The sequence below is a fragment of the Homo sapiens genome, chromosome 12 (genome assembly GCF_000001405.40).
Source record: "Homo sapiens chromosome 12, GRCh38.p14 Primary Assembly".
NCBI classification, from domain to species: Eukaryota; Metazoa; Chordata; class Mammalia; order Primates; family Hominidae; genus Homo; species Homo sapiens.
The window spans coordinates 104,767,146-104,789,581 of NC_000012.12; the positions used below are offsets into that span (position 1 = coordinate 104,767,146).

The 22,436-nt window shown below is 38.9% G+C and overlaps 1 annotated feature.

Moving 5' to 3' along the window:
- Positions 14,976–15,145: an enhancer, noted in NCBI's record as "experimental_24027 CRE fragment used in MPRA reporter constructs". NCBI's record gives its function as "activates a minimal promoter by MPRAs in K562 erythroleukemia cells, with activity observed for both the introgressed and non-introgressed 12:105175984 variant alleles {active_cell/tissue: K562}" and the evidence as "EXISTENCE:reporter gene assay evidence [ECO:0000049][PMID:34662402]".

Here is a 22,436-nt window from a genome sequence, read left to right on the forward strand (position 1 = left end):
TGCACTTGGGCAAGCAGCAGTGGGACTGGAGTCATTTGGCCCAAATGAAGGACATTTCCAAGCAGAACAGAAAGGCAGACAAAAATAGGGTAAGAGAAAGAGACTCCATGGCAGGTGGGAGTGTCTTAGGGCACCTTTGGATGTCTCTTCTACAGAGTTCCCTCTGCGTGGTAGCACCCTGCACACAGCCCTAGGCCTTACTCTGTAAGCTGAGAGCTCTGAGCTTCCCCAACTTCCCCTCCTCCATCTCAGCCCCAGGGACCTGCAGCTGTCAAGAGATACATTCATTCCTTCATCTGTGCAAACATATATTAAGCATCTGCCTATGTCAGCCCCTGTGCAAGATGCCAAGAATATGCGAATTCTTAAGATTCATAAGTGGACAACATAGAAATGTTAACGGGTAGTTATGGGATAGTTGACACATGCATGAAGACAAAACACCAAATTCCCCTTGGGAAAGAAGTGATGCAAGTCAGTAGCTAGAGAGATGGAGAAAAGTTGAGGGTTTGGAACAGTGGCTCCCAACCAGGAATGATTTTGCCTTCCTATGGATAGATCCCCACAACAAAAACTTGCTCAGTTCACAATGTCAGTAATGCTGAGACTGGAAAGCCCTACATTGGAGAAATATTAATTTGGGATAGAACCTATGTCTTTTAGTAACTGAATGGAAATGTAGGTGAGGAAGAGGGAAATAAGAAGGGAAGGAGGATTGCCACGAATTGAGTTTGAGCAACCATAGCTGGATAGTGGGGCCATTATTGGAGATCAGTTAATTAGGAGCAGAAACAGGTTTTGGGGAAGGCTCTCAGTTAACTATGAGACATGCTGAATTAAGGTTCAGGTAAAACATCCAGGAGAAGTTGGAGTGGTTCTAGAGCCTTACTACTCAAAGTGTGATTTGTAGACCAGCAACATGGAAATTACCTGGGAGCTTGCTAGAAACCCAGTGTTTCAGGCCCCACACCAGCCTTCCTGCATTTTAGCAATCTCCCCAGGTGATTCACATGCTTCACATTTGAGAAGCCCCTGTCTAAGCACAAGAGAGAGCCTGAGGAGAAGCTGTGGCTTTGGGAGATGGGGTCATGTTTCATTACTGTTTACTCTTCCAGCAACCCTGAGATGTGTATGATCAGGTCCACTGTGTCTGGTTGTGCAGGCTGTGCACTGCACAAAGGTAGGCCCAAGATGGGGTTGACATTTGTCATTTACTCTGAAGGACTGGATGCCTTTTTCTTACCCCACTTGCCAAGTTATGGGCCCAAAAGCTGTACCCACCCAGAAAATGAATTGTCAAATTTGCACAAAAGCTCTGTGACTTAGCAGTGGCCCAAATATAATGATTTCACATCCCTTTATCTGCAGTTCTGAAATCCACAAAACTCTGAAAACGAAATGTTTTTTCATAGATTTGCAGCAAGCTCACTTGGCAGAGAAACCTGACCTTAGCTAGCATGAGACTAATTATAGTCTTTATTTATCCCACTTACTGTGAATATTCATGCATTTTCCTGCAGAAATATTCATGTGTTTTATGATGGGAGTTCAGCCCCATATTCTACTGGGGTATTAAGAAATACATGATATTTGCACAGTATTTGGGGTGGGGGGAATTATTAATTCTTAAACACATCTGATCCAAGGGTTTCAGATAAAATTGTGAATTTGTACTACCCCAATTTTACAAATGGATCAACTGAGGCTCAGAGAGGTTAAGTCACTGCAAAACTAGTATATGAGAGAGCTAGGGTTCATTCAGACCCCATGCTCCTTTGGCATGACACTTGCTCCAAGAGGATTATTAATGAGCTAGACACTGCTCAATTAACAGTCCAGGCCTTTTTTTTTTTTTTTTTTTTTACAAGCCATGTGGATTTTCAGACAGAAACACAGGTAAGGGGCACAAGGAGCATAAAATAGAATAATCTGCTTTTTGTGTGGGTCTGCCATAGCAGAATGCTAACTCTGACACCTGAGCTGTATTTTTCCAAACAAGCCTCTGCGTGTTCTGACAGCATTCAGCCCAAAGCCAGGCACCCCTGTGCTGCAAGCATCCATCAACTTCAGCCTCACTGGCAGACATAGAGAATCCCAGCTATATTATAAAAGAATGAAAGCAGGCGAATTCTCTTGTTAGATCTGTGATTGAGATGAGGCGAACTACAGCAAAACAGCAGGATGATCTTCTGTTGTACTATTCTTATTCACCAGAGACACAAGTCTCCATCAGCGGCAGCAGGATCCAAATGCCAATTCCTTCTTTAAAAGACATTTGCGTGCTTTGGAGAACAATGCCTGTCATTGCTTCAGAACCAAGAGTTGCTCCCGTTTCCCTGCTCCATCAGGAAAGAATAGGCTTTATTCTTCTTCCAGAAATAAACCTACAGCTATAAATTATTAGCCAGATGAGAGTCAATGTACCTTCCTCTTTGAGATGTTGCAAACTCTAAAATTATATTCATGTGATATACCCACGTCTATAGTCTTCCCTTTTGAGCTTACATCTTGGGGTGTTGCCATGAGGTGAATGTTGGAAATTTGGTATCTTGGCACCAAAATCAAGGATTATTCATTATTCATTTAAATGAATTTAAGCTTTCCTTAAAATATTTGTATGTAAAAAAGACCCTTTATTTAAATATATTCCACTGAATATTGAACTCAAAATCATTTTTGTGATCCATTTCTGATTCTTTCCATCGTTTATACATGAATTACATATTTATATGTATGTATCACTTTAGATTATTCTATATACACATTCCTATATATTCTTTGGAGAAATGTTTATTCAAATCATAAATCCTTTATCAGAAATATGTTTTACAAATATTTTCTCTCAGTCTGTGGTTTGCCCTTTTCATTTTCTTAATGTCTTTCAAAGAGCAAACATTTTAAATTTTGATGAAGTCCAATTTATCAATTTTTATTTTACAGCTGGGTTTTTTGTGTCCTGTGTAAGAAATCTTTACCCAACCTAAAGTCTCCAGGATTTTATCCAATGTTTTCTTTTAGAAGTGTCATAATTTTTGCTTTTACATTTACGTTTATGACCATTTAGTTAGTACTGTATATATGAAGTAAGGGTCATAGTTCAGACCTTATAAATATCCAGTTGTTCCATTACCATTTGTTGAAAGAGCTGTACTATTTTTACATTGGTGCCTTTGTCAAAAATCAAGTGATCACATATATGCGAGCTGCTTTCTGGACTCTCTCTGCTGTTCTGTCGATCTATATGCCTGTTCCTATGCCAATATCACACTGCCTTAATTATTATAGCTTTATAGGAGGCCTTGAAGTCAGGTATTATAATTCCCCAAGTATGCTTTTATGTTTTTCTTTATTGCACTGGCTATGACTTCCAATACCAGGTTTAATAAAAGTGGTTAAGAGGAAAGCTTCAGTTTTTTACTATGAAGTATGATTCTAGCTGTAGGTTTTTTGTGGATGCCCTTTATCAGATTAAAGTGGTCAATTTGCTAATATTTTATTTAAATTTTTTCGCCTATGTTCCTAGAAAATATCACCCTATATTTTTCTTGTGATGCTTTTGTCTGGTTTTGATGGGAGGGTAATGCCGGCCTCATAATACAACTTGGGAAATATTCCTTCCTCTTCTATTTTCTGGAGGAATTTGTGTAGAAATTGTATCGTTTTTTTCCTCAAATATCTGGTAGAACTCACTTGCAAAGCTATCTGCTCCTGGAATTTTCACTGTGGGAAGGTTTTTAATTAAAAATTATTTTTATTTAATAGATAAATATTTAATAGATAAATAAAATTATTAATTTTAAGTAAGCTACTTAAGTAATCTAATTTTTCTTGAATGAGCTTTGGTAAAAATACATTTGAAGGAATATATCTGTTTCATCTAAGTTGCTGAATTTATTGGCATAATGTTGTTTATAAGTTTCTCTTATTAACATTTAATGCCTGTTGGATAAGTAATTATATTCTGTTTTTCATTCCCGATATTGGTAGTTGATGTCTTCTCTCTTTTTTCCATTGTCTGGCTGGAAATTTATCAGTTTTATTGATTCTTTCTAAGAACAATCTTTTGGTTTTGTTGATTTTCTCTGCCTTTTTTTGTTTGTTTTTGGTTTCATTGATTTGTGCTCCCATTTTTATTATTTACTTCCTTCTGTTTGCCTTGTGAATAATTTGTTCTTCTTTTTCTAGTTTATGCCAGAACTTTAGATTATTAATTTGAGTCCTTTCTTCTTTACTAATATAAGCACTTAAGGCTAAAATTGTCCTTCTAAGTACTACTTTAGCTGCATCCCATAAATTTTGGCAAATTGTGTTTCCATTTTTATTCAGTTTAAAGTATTTTCTAGTTTTCTTTATAGTTATTTATTTAATTCATAGATTATTAAGTGTGCTGGGAATTTTTTTGATATCTTCATTTTATTTCTACTTAAATTCCATTGTCGTCAGATAACATATTTTGTATGATTTTTGTCCTTTTAACTTCATAGAGACTTGTTTTAAGGCCCAGAATAGGATCTATCTTGGTATATGTTCCCTGTGGACTTTAAAACTATGTTTATTCCGCTATTGTTGGATGGAAGGTTTTATAACTGTCAACTGGATCAAGCTGGTGGATAATGTTCTTCAAGTCTTCCATATCTTATTCATTTTCTGAACATTTATTTATCAATTATTGGAAAAGGGGAGTATTAAAATGTCCTATTATAATTGTGGATTAATCTATTTCTCTTCTCAATTTTTGCTTAATTTTAAAACTTTAAAAATTAGTTGCATACACATTTAAAGTTATGTTTTCTTGATGAATTAACTCCTTTATTATTATGAAATGTCCCTCTTTTTCCCCAGCTGTATTCCTTGTTCTGAAGTCCACTTTGATACTACTATACTAAGCCAGCTTTCTTTTTTCAGTGTTTGCATTATATACCATTTTCTCTCTTTTACTTTTAACCTATCTGTGTATTTATGTTTAAAGTAGCTTTCTTTGTTAACAACCTATATTTGGGTCTTTTAAAATCAAATTAAATTTAATTAAAAAAATTTTTAGAGACAGGGTCTCACTCTGTCTCCCAGGCTGGAATGCATGGTGTGATCATAGCTAACTGCAGCCTCTAACTCCTGGGCTCAAGAGATCATCCTGCCTCAGCCTCCCAAGTAGCCAGACTACAGGTGCACACCCTTTTCCCAAGTAATTTTTTACTTTTTGTAGAGGCGGGATCTTGCAATGTCATCCAGGCTGGTCTTGAACTCCTGGCTCCAAGCAATCCTCCCACCTTGGCCTCCCAAAGTGCTCAGATTACAGGCATGAGCCACCACACTTGGCCAGATATTTTTTAAAAAAAAAATCTAATATGAGAACCTCTTCCTTTTAGTTGGAATATTTAGACTATTTACATTTAATGTAATTATTGATATAGTTAGGTTTAAACCTACTATCTTGTTGTTTTCTATTTCTTATCTTTCTTCCTTTTTCCCTTTTTTTCCTTTACTTTGCTTATATTGGGTATTTTTATTATTCTAGTTTTCCATTTACTTTTGGCTAATTAGCTATTTCTTTGTTGGTTTGTGTTTAGTGGTTGCCTTTGGATTTATAATATGTGTATTTAAACTTATTACAGTCTATCTTTAAAAATTTATGCTATATACACATTTAACACGAGAACCCCACAACAGATTACTTCCATTCCCCTTCTTTTTGCCCTTGTTGTCATATATTTTGTTCTACGTGTTACAAACTATAAAATGTTATCATTTTTGCTTTATCTGTCAATTATCCTTTAAATATGCAAAAAGTGAGAAAGACAATTTAATATCTACCTTCACATTTATCATTTCTGGCCCTTGCTCTTTTGCATAACTCCACACATCTGGTCTCATTTTCTTTCAACCTGAAAAATTTCCTTATTCCTTGTATTATAGGTCTGCTGGCAGCAAATTATCTCATCTTTTGTTTAACTAAAAATTCTTGATCAAATTTGAAAATGTGTGGCCATTACTTGGCCATTACTTCTCTAAATATTCTTTCCTGCCCCTACACTCTTTCTAGGACTCTACTTATATGTTAGACCACTTGATGTTGCTCCATTGATCATGAATGCTTTGTTCATTTTTTAAAGTTTTTGTTTTCTTGGTGTGCTTCATTTTGAATATTTTCTAATTGCTCTTTCTTCAAGTTTACTGATTCTTAATCCTGCGGTTAATGCCATCCCAGGGAAATTTTCATTTCAGATGTTGTATTTTTTATTTCTATAAGTTCCATTTGGATCTTTAAAAGTGTTACATTTCTTTCCTTATAATGATCACATGTCCTTTATATCCTTGAGAATGTGGAAGTGTGTGTGTGTGTGTGTGTGTGTGTAATCTTTTAAAGTCATTATCTGCTAATCCATCATCACTATCATTTTTAGGTCTGCTTATATTGACTAATTTTTCTCCTGATTACTGTTCCAATTTTCTTGCCTTTTTGTATGTCTAGCAACTTTTAATTTGATGGTGGATATTTAATTTTACATTTTTCAGGCTGGGTTTTACTATACTCTTTAAAGGGGTGTTGGACATTTTCTGGCAGGCAATTACATTACTTATGGATTAGACTGATCCTCTTCAGGTTTGTTTTTAAACTCAGTTAAAGTGGGTCTGGAGCAGCCTTTATTCTAGAGCTGATTTAACCCCATTTGTAAGGTGTGGTCTTTCTGAGGGTTCCACTTAATTCCATGAATATTTAATGAGGTCTTTTACACTTGCTAGAAGCAATTCAAATAACTCCCGGCATTGTGTAACCTCTGGGAAATATTTTTCATATAGCACCTCAGCAATTGTCCTTTCCTTGTAAGTTGTTCTCTTCTGGCCTTGTAGGATTTTACTCTATGCATGCACTTACTGGCATTCATTCAAAGACACAAAAGGACCTCTATCCAAATTTCTGATGCTCTTTCTTAGTGTAGCTCTCTTCACTTGCGTACCCTGCTCTGCACCTAATTCTAGCCACCTAGGCATTTCAGAATTTCAGTCTAACTCCTCGACTCAGAGAGACTGTATGGAATTTCCTTCTGTGAACCACAGTCTGGTAATTACCTCAGACAGAAAGTCTTGGCAATGTGGACCTTACCTCCTTTGTTCCCTTTTCTAAGGAATCATAGTTCATTTCTGCCTGTTGTTCAGTGTCTGAAAATTGTTATTGTCTATATTTTGTCCATTTTTCTAGTATTTTATTGTGGGAAGTTAATTCTGGACTGTCTTATCCTGTCATAGGTGGATGCAGAAAAATGCCTGTTTTAATACCTATAGTTAAGCCAACATCTTATGGTTATTTAGTTAATCCCTTAACACTAAGAGTTTAGTGTTATTTCTCTAGTTTTAAATATTATGTTTCATAATGCTTTTTCTAATTATTTCTATGTAAAACATTATACCTAGTGCCAATGAGAACATTATTATTAAAAATGATTTTTTTCCTTTAGAGGATATTTTCTTAAGATTTAGAGTTACCAAAACAAAGGATATGAACAACTTTATAGTTCTCATTGCAGTATTTCCTGATTGTCTCCAGAAAGATAAGACTCATTTACAGTGCCTCTAGGAGTATGAATACATATTTCTCCTGATTGCTAGCATTGGACTTTATCACTCTAATTTATTTTCATTAGTTGAACCCGTGAGTAATGGTGCCTAGAAGATGGTTCAATTTGTTATTTTTTCTCATAGTGCTAGGAGTGCATTTTCTCAATAGATAATTAAATGTCTGATTTTTCTTGTATATAAACTATCTGTTCATCAATCTTGATGATATAGCAAGTGGAATTATGGTATTTATATTATAGGACCTCATTACATTTGGTAGAATTGTACGCTATTATCTGTTGTGTTTTTCACATAGCTTAATCCCCTCTTTTAGTTTACAAGTAACTTTCATTTTTCAGTCTTCTTTAAGCAACAGATTGTTAGATTTTGTTCTTAATTCTGTTACTGGTTCCTCTTCCTCCTCCGCCTCCTCCTCTTCTTCTCATCTCTTCTTCTTCTTCTTCTTTTTTTTTTTTTTTTTTTTTTTTGAGACAGAGTCTTGCTCTATTGCCTAGACTGGGACAATCATGGCTCACTGCGGCTTCAGCCTCCCTAGCTCAGGCAATCCTCCAGAGTAGCTGGGACTACAGGCATGTGCCACCACACCTGGCTAATTTCTTAATTTTTGGTAGAGATGGCATTTTACCATGTTGCCCAGTCTGGTCTTGAACTCCTGAGCTCAAATGATCCACCCATCTTGGCCTCCCAAAGTGCTGGGATTACAGGCGTGAGCCACCACTCCTGGCCTGGTTCTTCTTTATCCAGAGGATTTTATCTTTTTGGCTTAAATATAAGTTGATATATTTATGCTTTTTACTACTTCCTAAGTCTATTTTTAAGGGCTGCTATGGCCTGCTTTCTCTTTTTATTTGCATTGCCACTGTAGTAAATTTTAGCATCTTGATTTCCCTTCATTCTGCACTCCCAATCTACTGGACTCTAAATTCCATGTCTGTGTTGTGAAACCATGTCTGTGTTGTAACTGCCATATTCTCAGTATCTAGCACAGTATCTGGCACATTGATGTATTCATTTAAAAATAATTACTGAGACCCTGCCGTGAATGCCATGGAGACCAGGTATATGTGACTTAACCCCAGTAATCAGCTCTTTTCAGGAATCTAGTTTTATCTTGTGCTTCTCATATTTTATTGTCTGTTTTATAGTTATTAATGTTTCTTTGTTAACTGTGCCCTCTGGGGATGTCCTAGACAATTTCTCTTTCAGAAGGGTTTTCATGTAATTCAAATCTGCCTTGCCCCTGATGGAAGTTCTTGCAGCTGTGGGATGTGGGGTTGACAAATTATTTCAGTACCTCTGACATATCTCATATTAGCTCATAAAAGGTCAACCTGGCCTAGGTTAAAGGTCAAGCAAAAGGCCAATCAGACCTTGAAAGGTCAACCTGACCAGCCCTGCAAGGATACTGACAACTCCATTTCTCTTAGTTTTGTATGTTTTCCCCGAAGCCTTCCTTTTCTGTTCTCTATAGTTTAAGGGGTAAACTCCAGATTTGTTTTCTTCTTACATCTCTCAATGCTTCCTTTCTTTTTAAATCCTTAAAAGAGGCTGTCTTTAATTCTGATGTCTAAACATTGACCAGAAACTGTCTTTCTTAGAATGTTACTCTTCAATTTTTAAATTAATGTTATTCTTTAATTTTTTGAATGTGGATTTCTGTCATTCTCTCCCAGTGACTGAATCAAGATTGCCATTCAGGATAGAATACGGATCTTTAATGATTTTCTTGGCCCTAGTGTATCCCTTGAAGCCTTAGACACTGTTGGGATCTGCTTGTCCTATTCTATTTAATGAGTTCTTCCCAGGACTCCCAAGATCTGTCCATTTTTCCTGCATTCTAGTCTCTGTGTCTGCGATTTGGTATTGATTTAGGTTGCTGTGCAGGTGCATCTCCCACCTTATTGACTAGCTTTTTGAGCTGATGCAATAGCATCTGTGTAAACTTTTCCAAACACTTGGTTCAAATGAAATCTTATGCAGAAGTCCAATCTGAAAAAAAGGCATACCCAGTGCTGCTTTGGTCATTGGTGGTGGTGAGGGAAGAGGATTGAGAGGGTATGGAGCCCTTCCAACTTCTCCATCCCCCATCGCCATAAGTCCCCAAGATAATTCTGAGAACCCAAGGATTCCAGGTAGTTTTACTCAAGCTGCACTTGCATCAGGTCTGCTTTCCCACCTTGGTTTTACGTCCTAGACACATTTATAAGCCTGAGTTCTGTCTTTCATGTTTGCTCAACTTCCCTTTTTAATACTATCATTTCTTACTTAATATTTTACATTAACCTATGTCTTATCCCTCATGCTTCCTCGAGGGTCTTTAGAAAACTAGGCAGATTTGGTTAATTTTTAAAACATCTATTTACACTTAGGGATTGTGAAGAAGCCAGGAAATAAGTGTTTTGGATTTCTAAAATACACATATGGGCATCTTTTTATTTATTAACAGCTTTTATATGTTTTCAATATTATTCCTTAAAGCAGCTGTTTCTTTGAGTTCTCTTTCACACCTGCCTGTCACTTAGAATTTCCATTTGTTAATTTACAAATCCAAATTGGAAGCAACAAAAGCAAAGCACAAGGTAATTTTCCTGATTTTAAATTTTACTTATAAATTTGAGGGTCATTTAGAAGCTCTGTGCATACCCAGCTAGGGTCACAGAGAAGCCACTGGCTTTTACTCTATCCCTAAATACTGTTTTTGAGGTGCAAATACTAATATAGGACTTACCAGACTTATAATAGTTAGGTTTGTGTGGTTTTCCTCCATTAAATTGTAAGGCCCTGAAGGAAGCATTTTTCTCTTTATCCATTATTGTACTTAGTACGATGCAGGTGAATAATACATACTTAAATGGGAAGGGCATCATCTATTTTTACTTCCAGAAAGTCTTAAGAAAGCCAATTAAAAATTTTAATTATCTTGGCATTAGAAAAAATCGGAGATAAAGTGACTTAGAGAGGGAAAGAGAGTGTGGATAATGTTTCTCTCCCAGATGGAAAAGGACACGATGTTCACTATTGATCTCAAGAGGGCACATTTTCAGATGACAAGTGGCTCTTCAGGATAGTTAAATGGCAAAATGTCTGGGATGACATAGGACCAGTCGTGCTTTAATGTGGAAAATACAAAAGGGGAACACATCTAAACCACATAGACACAAGAGTGGTTTGGGATCACTGTGTAGTTGGGAGCCATTATTTCCATGGCTTGTTTTGGCAATAGGGACCCAACAATGAGCTCAGCCCCACTAGTAAGAATGAGCAGCAACACAACATGGCAGGCATGACTCTTTTCCTACTGGGCACATGTGTACCTTCCCTCAGTCACATGAGGTCTGAGCTGCCTCACCTGGAGCTGATCTCTCAGGGCCTAGGCCGGGGCCTCTGCCACAATCAGCAGTTTGTTGGCCAACATTATTCGGTTTATGTAATTTGAGGTGCTGGGCAAGGGTCTAAGTAGAGTTGTTGCTTGGGATTCATGGGGGATTGATTCCAGGACCCCTACAGATGCCAAAATCCAGAGATACTCAAGTACATTATATAAAATACTATAGTACTTGCATATAACCTATACCCATCCTCCTGTATATTTTAAATTATCTCTAGTTTAATTGATGTACATGTTATATAAATAGTTGTTATACTGTATTTAAAAATTTTGTTATTGTTATATTGGGTTTCTCTCCCAAATACTTTTGATCTGTGCTTGGTTGAATCAGCCAGTGCCAAACCCACAATATGGAGGGCAGACAGTAAATTCCTACCAGGCTTGGCTTATCAATTCATTCATTCCACATGCATTTATTGAGACACTGAGGAATATCAAAATGAGTCAAAATACTTGTCCTCAATTTGGTCACAAAATAGATGATAATAAAGCCATATATGGTAAGGGCATAGCTCACCATCTTGGGGGACAATCCTGCTTAGACAATGCTACTTTATCACTGATATTTGCTGCTCTGTGATTGACTATGATTCCTTGCTTCTTAATGTGGAAATAAGCCTCTTTCAATATAAATTTCAGTCAGGCTCCTGAGAAATAACCACCATAGAAATGCTCAATTGTCCTAATTATTCTACAGTGAAACCCATTTGTCAACAAATGAAGCCCATGCATGGTCTTACTCTTACGATACATAAGCATACAGCCAGGAATCTCCAAATATTTGGGAAAGCCAACCAACGCAAGAGGAAGAGCACAAAGCGAAGGCAAAAAATAAATCTAGAGGAAATACAGAAGATTAAAACAGACAAAAAAAAAAAAAAACAAGTAGAGGTAAGACAGGATATTATATACATAAAACAAGAAATGCCAGAAACAAGGAGAATAAGCAATAGAGAATAGAGAATAAAAAGAGCTCTTGGAAATTAAATATAGCACAGCCAAAATAAATTTAATTGAAGGATAGGGAGATAAAGTTGAAGAAATCTCATAGAAAAAATGTTTTAAAATACACAGATAGAAAACGAGAGATGGAAGAGGTGGTTTATCTACCCAGGAGGTACAATTTCCATCTAATAAGAATTCCAGGAAGATAAAACAGTGAATAGGAAATTATCAAAAAGTAGTGCAAGTTTTCCCAGAAGTAAAGGAGGGACTCTGTGTGCTCAGCACAGTGAATAAACAAATGCCCACACCAAGAGGCTTATCACAAAGTTTCATAACGCCAGGAACAAATCCTTCTGGTAAAAGAAAATAAAGACAAATAGATAAATAAAACTACCATATAATGGGGAAGGCAAGTCATAAAAATTACAATATAATGAGGTGTCTTTAGGTTGAAGATGATATACTGAGCAATTGAGTTTACCACCTCTTAGTCCTAGCAACGCATCAGGATTGAAATAGAATCAAGTCATAAAATTGCTGAGAATAGAAAAGAGAGTGGGCATCTGCATTCTTAGATTGTGGCTACCAATGGATGGAAAGTGGATGGGGTGACACGAAATTGCAGGGAATGAGCCCCCATCCCCAGACATACTGTAGAGAGCTCTTTCCTCCAGGTGCCCTCAGAGTCAGCAGGTACAATGGGCGAATTTCAGACAAAGAGCAGACGTTGATAGAAATTGCAGAAAAACATCAAGTACCTGCTTCCCTTACCCCTATGAGTGATGGTGGCATTTGCCCCCAGGCTTAAACCAAATAAACATCCTCTAAAAAGTTGAACTAGAATTTAGGGTTCCTCTAGTAGTGGTTGAGTTCTCAAAGTAGGGAAAGCCATCCCCATTGAACATTTGGAAGAGAAAGTATGTCTGCTTGTTCCTAACCTGGACATGTTTTCATGAAAGCTTTTAGTGATGCCCACCATTGGATATGCCCTACACCCCTAAACACAAACACACACACACACCACACACAGAAAAACACCCACATTATATAGTCAACCATATCAGGCAAAAAGAGAGGCCAGTAAAGACAGAGAAAATCATGCCAATGACCTAAGTGAATGAACCTACTGACACAGGATCCTTTCAGTGCTGCTTTGCCAGCCAGAAATTTCCATGGCCAATGGTGCCCCTGCCCAGGCTTTCCTTGGCCCTTGGTTTGACACTGGGCTCACTCTGCCCACTTGGCTTGACAGGCTATGCTTGGCTTGTGCCCTGTCCTGGATCCTGCACCCACCTCAGGATCTGTGCTCAGCCTGCAGCTGAGCCAGTTGTGCCGTGACCTGCTTCTGCCTTGGGCACCAGCATCTGGATGAGGGGAATGTGGTGGCACCCAGAAACTCAGAGATGCCGGTAACCACTGAGCCCCAAAGGGCATTATGGCTCTCACCTGGGGAGTCTCAAGGTTTGAGCCCCCAAGAAGTGTTACAGCCCTCTCTTGTCCCCGCCTCCTGCAGTGTGCGGCAAATGGGGGATGTGTTATAGCTCATTTGTGTTACAGCTCATTCGTTCCTGCTGCCTGCAGTGTGGTGAATGGGCGTGTGTGGTGCCCAGTGTCTTTTACTCCCCAGTTGCTTGGTAAGCAGGAGGGAGAATTACAGTGTTACAGCTCTTTTTGCCCCAACATTCAGCAGATTCCAGGTTCTTGTCCTATGACCAAGAAGAATGAGGTTATGTGGACACCAGAGAGTGAGCAAGGCAGGGAAGAATTTTACTGAGTGACAGAAAAGCTCTTGACAACAAGAGGGGGCCCAAAAGCAGGTAGCCCAATGTGTGGCTGAGTCCGGGGTTTTTATGGGCTCAGAATGGGAGAGTGTGTACTGATAGTCCATGGGCAGGCCTGGAAAAAGCACCATTTGATTGGCTAAAAGGCATTGAGGAAGTTCTCACTCCAGTTGTGGACTCTACCTGGAACTGGCAGCTCAGTTTTTAGACTTTAAGCTATTTTTGGCTTGAAAGTTGGGTTTCACCAGGGACCTATCCCTGTCTGCTGAGAAATCTGTCTGCTTCCTTTCACTATCACTAATACCATAAGACATTCAAGGAAAAGCTACTTCACAAAGGAGAAAAATTTAGGGGAACAAAGAAAACAATGAATGCTACATATCAATCTGGGTTTTTAGCTGCAGAGTGAAGTGTCTACTCTACCTGGGTTTATACATTTATTCAACAAATATTTAAAGGCCTACAATGAACCAGGTACTTTTTCAGGTGTTGGTGGTACAGCAACGAATAGATTGGACATGACCCCTTCCTTTCAGTCAAGTGCAATCAGGCCTTCTGGGTGAAGAATGGCCAGTGCAGAGGCCCTGAGATGACAGCAGGCTTTGTGTATTTGAGGAGCAGCAGGGTAGCAGTGTAACTTGGGAAGATAGCACAGGGAAGCATAGTAGGAGGTAAGGTAAGGCCACATAAAGCCCTTCAAGAGACTGTCTTTACTATGAAAGAGAGGGGAGCCACTGGAGAGCTTTGAGCAAAGGAGTAAAATGATCTGATTTTACACAGATCACTTTGGCTGTGTGCGGAAAAGGCTCTAGAGGGTCAAAATGGAAGACAGGAGACCAGTGAGGTGGCTATTGCAATAATCCATACCAGAAGTGACAGTGATTTGGTACAGGGTAGTAGTAGTAGAGGTGATGAAAAATGATCAAATTTTAGAGACATTTTAAAGATATAATTGGATTTGCTGGTGGTTTGGCATCAGTTATGAGAGAGGAAGAAAGGTAAAGGATGGCTTCCAAGTTTTTGGCCTCAGCAACTAGAAGGATAGAGTAAGATAAATATAAAGATAATGATGAAACTAAGAAAAATAGCTAAAACTTTTATAGTACTTACTATGCGTGATCAACTGTTTTAAGCACTCAACATATATTCATTAATTTCAACCTCACAATAGTCCTATAAGTTAGCTAGTCTTATTAGCATTTTTCAGATTAAAATATCAAGGAACTTACCCACGGATATACACCTAGTGAGTGGCAGAACTGAGACTCAAACTCAGTAGCTTGGCTTAGTACTCTTAACCACTATTTTCTTTTTTTTTAGGAAAGACTATGAGAGGAGCGTGTTGAGGGCAGACTTGAAGATCAGGAGTTCGGTTCTAGACAAGTTAAATTTATGACACCTATATTCATTATCTGTTGCTGCAAAATAACACTCAGTGGCTGAAAAACCCCAAACATTTATTATCTCACAGCTTCTGTGAGTTTGATCTTGAGTGCAGTTTAGCTGAGTATCTGTGGCCCAAAGTCTCTCTTGGAGTCACTGGGGCTTGGGCTGTGGTCTCATTGGAAAGTTTGACTGAGAGTGAGGGATCTGCTTCCCCTCTAACTCACATGGTTTTTGGGAGGCATTGGTCCCTCACCACAGAGGCCGCTCTGCAGGGCTACCTTATAATATGAGAGTTGGCTTTTCTCAGGTTGAGTCATCCAAGAAAGGGCTAGAGAGAGTGAGTGCCCAAGATGAAAGGCACAGTCCTTTTATAACGTAATCTTGGAGTGACATCCATCACATCTACCCTATTCTATTAATTAGGAGTGAGTTAACATGCCCAGCGAGCCCACACTCAAGGAAAGAGGATTACACATGGGCACAAATGCCAGGTGGTGTGGTTCACTGCATATCCATGTGGCAAGGTCATATAGGCAGTTGGAAAAAATCTGGAATCTGAGGGATAAGTCCAGGCTGGAAAGCCATCATGGGGAATGTATTTATTATTGGATAATCTTTGAAAGGACTGGAGGAATCATCTCAGGCTGAGTCTCCAGGAACATCTCCCTGAACCATACTCCAGGACTGGTCTGAGAAGAGATCTGCTGCGGCCACTGCTGCTATGGACTCCAAAAATGTTGCACCTCTGCCTTCCCCCAGTGCCAGCAAAATAGGCGCCAGGTGTCCTAGCACGTTCTTCTTGCAACTAACTTTAGAATCAAAGCTCTCAAAAGAGCCTATGCTGGTTGGCTGAATCAAAGTCTATATTCTAATTACAAGGAGATGGGAAATGTAATATTTGTAATGTCTATGAGAAGATGAAATTAATATTATGAAAAGGTATCAAAATATGGGGAGAGTGCTCAAAGATTTCAAGCATCTATAAGTGACTTTTGTTCATCACATTCTGGGAGGAACTGAGATAACTTAGGAGAAAATGAAGATCATAAAACGAATCTAATTAAGAGCCACAAAGATATGGATCGATATCATATCCATCCATTCAAAGTACTAACAAAAAGAAGCAAAAAACAAGAAGTAGGTTGTGAAAAATTAAAGATATAAATGCATAAATGAAGAATGTAATACATTGGGTGAAATAAATAGATGAAAACATCTCCCAGAATATAGAACAACAACAACAAAAACACCCCAAAGAAATGGAAAATCTGAGGGGAAAAAAATAAGAAATACATAAGATCAATCCAAGAGGGTCCAAATTTAACTAAGACATCCTAGAAAGGAAAAGAGAATAAAAAGCATGAAACGTTTTTTTTTTTTTTTAATCCCAGAACTAAAGGAAGATATTCAAAAAAGTTTCCTAAGTTCCAAGCTCAATGAGTGCAAAATGACCCACATAGCTATAGTACCATGATGTTTTGGAACATGGAGGATAAATATAAAGATGAAAGAGAAGGGAGCCACTTTGCTTTGAGCAAAGGAGGAAAATGATCTAACGTTTTAATAATAAATGTTAATAAGCTAACATTTTAATAGGCTTACTATGTGCGATCAGCTGTTTTCAGCACTTGACCTATATTGGTTAATTTCAACCTCACTACAGTCCTACAAGGTAGCTACTCTTATTATTACCATTTTTCAGATGAAAATATCAAGGAACTTACCCATGGATACATACCTTGTGAGTGGCAGAACTGAGACTCAAACCCAGCAGTCTGGCTTAGTACTCTTAACCACTATTTTCTTTCATTAGTGACAGTGAATTCTAGAAAGCAGTAAAGAAATGCCTTCAAAGTTCTGAAGAAACATAATTTTAAATGGAAAATTACCCAAAATATTAATCAAGTATTAGAGGGATATAATACATTTTCACACATGTAAAAACTTAGATATACAAAAACCTATCTTCAAACATGCATGTGTGTGCAAGCATGTTTGTTATATAAGTTATGCATGTTTATAGGTTATATATAACATGCATATACAGGTTATATAACATGTTATAACATGCATATATAGGTTATATATGCATGTTTGCATATAGGTTATATATAGATACACACATATATATAGGTAAGTATATACACTTTCTGAAAAAGTAAATTAAGGATTTACTGCAGCAAAAGGAAAAATAACTTGAAGACAAACAATGGCATGACCTCCAAGAACAGTGAACCAATTAAAGAGTGCAACAAAAAGTAATCCCAGATAACTTCTATGCAAATGGGCATAAGCACTGGCCATCTTGCCCCTATTTTTACACTTCTTTGGTAAGAAACTCAATTCCGGGAGACAGATTTTTCAGTTTGGAGTCTATCTGTATGCTTCCTCTTGTACTGAGACAGATATGATATCTGTTCATTTGCCAGCCTATAGGTATGGTCTGGACACAGGCTGCAGGTAGAATCTGATGTCGTTTCCCAGGGAACTCAGGCAGACACAGCAGGGAGCAAGTGGGGCTGCTTCAGCATAAAATGCTGCTGAAAAGCTATTGCCCTCTGCTATGTGCAACATTCCATGGCTTCAATTCAAGGATAAAGCCCTGTTCTGGCCTCTCAAGTTTCTGCAGCTTTGGGATCCTGGGAGACAGTGCCTTAGGAGTAGACACCAGGGCTGTCAGGGCAGGAATGGCACCAACAGGAGTAAAGCCCCTACCCAAACAGTGTCTTGAGCTTTGAGCATGAACAAAGGGGATCCTGAGCTGAAGACCCTGAGAGGACAACTCTTGCCAAAGTGAAGTGAGAGACCCCCAGGGACTCCTAGAAATAATTGGGTGAGGCTTAAAGAGAGGGAGCTAGTGTTTCTGTGATATGCAAATAGACTAATGAGCAGGATAAATCTGAGTACTTACTGTAAACATATTGTGAACATAAGACCTTATTTGTACGCAGGTTGGTGAGGTCTGGGGAAACCTGAATTATATTTATCCAGCCTAGCATTGTCATTATCATCATCATTAACATCCTATTCTGCACAAACTCAGTATAATAGCAATTGTGCTTTATCTGAACTTCTTTTTGGATGCAAAATGATTTCAGTCTATGTGTCCTTTTCTACCTTTCCCATTCCAGCCTTGCTATTCATTCTGTGGTCCACAGACCAGCAACATAAGCATCACCTGAGAACTTTTTTGAAATGAAAAAGTTTGAGAATGTCAGGCCTCACCCCAGGCCCACTGAACCAGAATCTGTAACAAAATCCCCCAGTGACTTACATGCACATCAAAGTTTGAGAAGTTAATAACCACTCTTAAGGAGTGGTTATTGACCTGGCCTGGAACTGCTAAATTCCTGGAACTACTAAACTCCAATGATAAATGTCTGGCTCCTGTAACTCTCAGAATCACCTGGAGAGCTGGGTTTACAGTTCTGGAGTCTGGGAGCATGGCACTGGCATCTGGCAAGGGCCTTCATGCTGTGTCATCCCATGGTGGAAGGTGGAGGGGCAAAAGAGGAAAGAGATGAGAATGAGTGGGAGCCAAACTCGCTTTTGTGACAACCCACTCAAGAACTAGCCCATTCCCACAATAACAACATTAATCTACTTACGAGACCAGAGCCCTCATGACCTCATCACCTTTCATTAGGCCCCACCTCCCAACATGGTTGCATTAGGGATTAAGTTTCCAGCACATGAACTTTAGGGGACACACTCATGCCATGGCAGCCTCATTACAGATTCAAATATGCATCCTTTCTTCTTTCTACCATAGGCTTACTTACTTCTGACTCCCTTTTTCTCAATAAATGATTCTTCGGCGACGATTGACAGGAGTCAGCCATTGAGGAGCTGGGAGATAAGGAGGAAATGAGCTCACTGGATAAAATAGATAACGAGGAGGCCAGCCCTAACACTGGCAAAAACACACATCAAAGTGAAATGAGGGTAGTAGGGAGATTATGAAGGACCTTGTTGGCTGGGCAGAAAAGTCCATTTAATGTGGTGGGAGAAATGAAGGCCAGTGAAGATTGGAGAGAAGTGGGGAGAAAGGATACGCTGAAATTTAAGTTGAATTTAGTAAACAATTTGTATTTGAAGATACATATTTACCCACTTAAAACCAAGCATTGAAATGATGGTCATTTAAGCATTCTTCTCAGAAAACTACCTACCTAGGTGTTTCTCATACAAATCTGCTCTGGAGCCAATAATGACATTTAATAAAGTCTTGCTAATTACGTTCTCTAACGAATTGTGAGACTGCTTAATCCACAGTGCAGAGATTTGTATAGTCAATAACTGCGTTAAATAGCCTCAGTTACTTACATACGGTGTCTATTGGTGTTAATTGTATCCATTAACCCAGACAGAATTGTTTTAAATTTCTGCAAGATGGTTAATGTGCTGATTCCTCTGAGGCCACTAACCACATTTTTCCTTTGGCCACATTCATAATTGGGGCTTAATAAAGCTTCTTAATCTGAATTTAGCCTCTGGATAAACGACCAAGAAGTCTAAAATTCTTCCTCATGTGGAATACTTCATAATATGCTTGAATTGAAACTCAAAATTAACCCTATTGGTGTTTCCCCATTTCTTTGATTTAGGATCTTTAAGATGAGAGCATCCTTCAATGATTAGGAGAACTACAAGATGGAAATAAAGACTGTATTACTTACAGGTCCTTGGGCGGGACATGGCATGCCTAGAGGCCACACAGGGAGGTCAGACAGCACAGGCAGGGAGAGAAAAAAGAGACCCATGGGCCAATGCCTTTATTGGGTATTGGGCATTATCCAAACAGGTTTCCTGCACGGAGTTTTAATTGGGTTTAAACCAAGCAGGCACAAGTTCCAGGTCACACAATAACTGATACATGGTCACTATGGCAGATCTGCACAGTCTCTGTGGGGTGTAAGAGTGAGTGGGGCCAGTCAAGCAGGCTGCATCTAGCTGTCCCATGGGGAAGTGGTCACTAGGGAGCAGTTGTATAAGGCAGATATCTGGATGGGGCACATTGAGGAACTCGGCAGGGAGTTGGACTGGAAATAGTGTCAGGAATGACTGAGCCCTGCTTCTGGTATGAGAAAGTCTAATGTATTTAAAATGGATGCCAAGGCAACACAAAATTAATACATAATTGTATAAACATAAACATAAATTTTGTTGGGTATAGTGAATTAAGCATTCAGTTTACCCAACAAAAAATTGACTGAAAGAGGGGGCCAGACACAGTGGCTCACACCTGTAATTCCAGGGCTTTGGGAGGCTGAGGCAGGAGGCTCACATGAGGCCAGGAGTTGGAGACCAGCCTGGGCAACAGAGAGAGATCCTGTCTCTAAAATAATACTTTTTTTAAAAAAGTTGGCAGAAAGATATACTAAATAAAAATACATAGGCTTGTATCCTTCAAATGCCCTTAAAGAAAGATATTTATCATTGGAATTTAGTAGTTCCAGGAGCCAAGGTCTTCCTCAGCTGAACAAGTCACCCCCATCTACCTGGTCGACTGGGCTTGAAATGTCCCTATATTTGGCCCTTTACTTTCAGGGGCACCTACTGTTAATATTCTCAAGGGCACTATCTTACTTCTTATGGTGCATTTCAAAGGTTGTGGTTGATTTGTTTGGGTCCAAAAATAGTATAGTCCAATAATCTGATCAGTAGCCAGACATAACATCACAATTGAAGTTGTATTTACTATATTTTGTTGCACACTAGGTCTTAGGGAGATATCAAGCTGGGTAACAGTTGATAGAACAAGTTAGAATATAATTTGCCCAATATATGTCTGCAGACGTTTTGGAAGCCTGGGAAATGCAATGAAGAACTCTCGTCCTGTATGCTTCTGGCGGTGTCATATAGAGGATCACTTGCTCACCAAAATCGCCTTAAAAGGATGCATTAAATCCTTAAATCACTATCCTGTGATGATATCAATCAACATGGTTTTATCACTAATGATAGTGATAGACAGTAGCCTGGGCAATGAGGGTGCCACAAGTAAACCTGACATCCCCTGTCGTAAACGCTACAGCCAACTTCATTTGAAAATCTCATTTAGAACACACTTTTGGCACGTTTCTTTCTCTTCTAGGACACACAGCTTTTTAAAAAATACAAAAATAGGCTGAGCACAGTGGTTCATGCCTGTAATCCTAACACTTTGGGAGACCAAGGCAGGTGGATCACCTGAGGTCAGGAATTCAAGACCAGCCTGGCCAACAAGGTGAAACCATGTCTCCATTAAAAAAATACAAAAATTACCTGGGTGTGGTGGTGCATGCCTGTAATTCCAGCTACTCAGGAGGCTGAGGCTGGAGAATCGCTTGAACCCAGGAGACAGAGGTTACAGTGAGCCGAGATAACGCCATTGAACTCCAGCCTGGGGGACAGAGCAGGAATCCATCTCAAAATAATAATAATAATACAAAAATAATACATGTTCATTGCAGACAATTTGAGAAAGAGAAGCATAAAGAGAAAATAATCTAAAATCTCACTGTAAGATAATGAACATTTCCTTCCAATCTCTTAAAAACGCAGTTACATATTACATGTATATTTTGTTCTGTGTTCTTTTATGTGATGGTCAGTCAGATGTGGCCACAAGAGGACACAGGAGAGGCTCAGGAAAAAAACAGTTTATTGTATTCACAGATTCTGGAAACAGGAAGTGTGGCACTCCTGCAGGGTCACATGGGGAAGCCACATGGGATGATCAAGGGGCAGAAAGCAGGGGCAAGGGGAAAGTCTAGGCCAGAGGTTACAGGGGTTTCCTGGGAAGGGCAGGCTGAACTGTTTAGAACTGGCTAGTTTGAATAATTTTGGTGGGCTCTAAACTATAGGAGTGGTCCCTGGTTGCCCAGTACCTGGCCCTGGGGTGACTAAAGCCAAGGAATACTGTCTCCTGGGAAGTATAGGCCAGATGAAGGAGGTGTGGCTCTGGAGTGGCTAGTTGGCATATCAAAGACATGCTCCCAGCTGAGTCCTTTGCTTTCCCTAAGAATTGGCTAGCCCCAGAGAGTAGCCTGTCTCCAGCCCAGAAGGATTTTTTGTTTGAATCTCCTCTGTTGTTTTTTTTTAATAGGACAAGAACTTGTTTATTTTATTTATTTATTTATTTTTGCCAAATAAAGCAATTGGACAGCGTTCCTTCCTCTTTTCTTTTTTAAAAAAAAAATTCCATAGGTTTTTGGGGAACCGGTGGTATTTGGTTACTTGTTTTGTTGTTGTTGTTGTTTTTTTTTTTTTTTTTTTTTTTTTGAGACAGAGTCTCACTCTGTCGCCCAGGCTGGAGTGCAGTGGCGCGATCTCGGCTCACTGCAACCTCCGCCTTCTGGGTTTGAGCGATTCTCCTG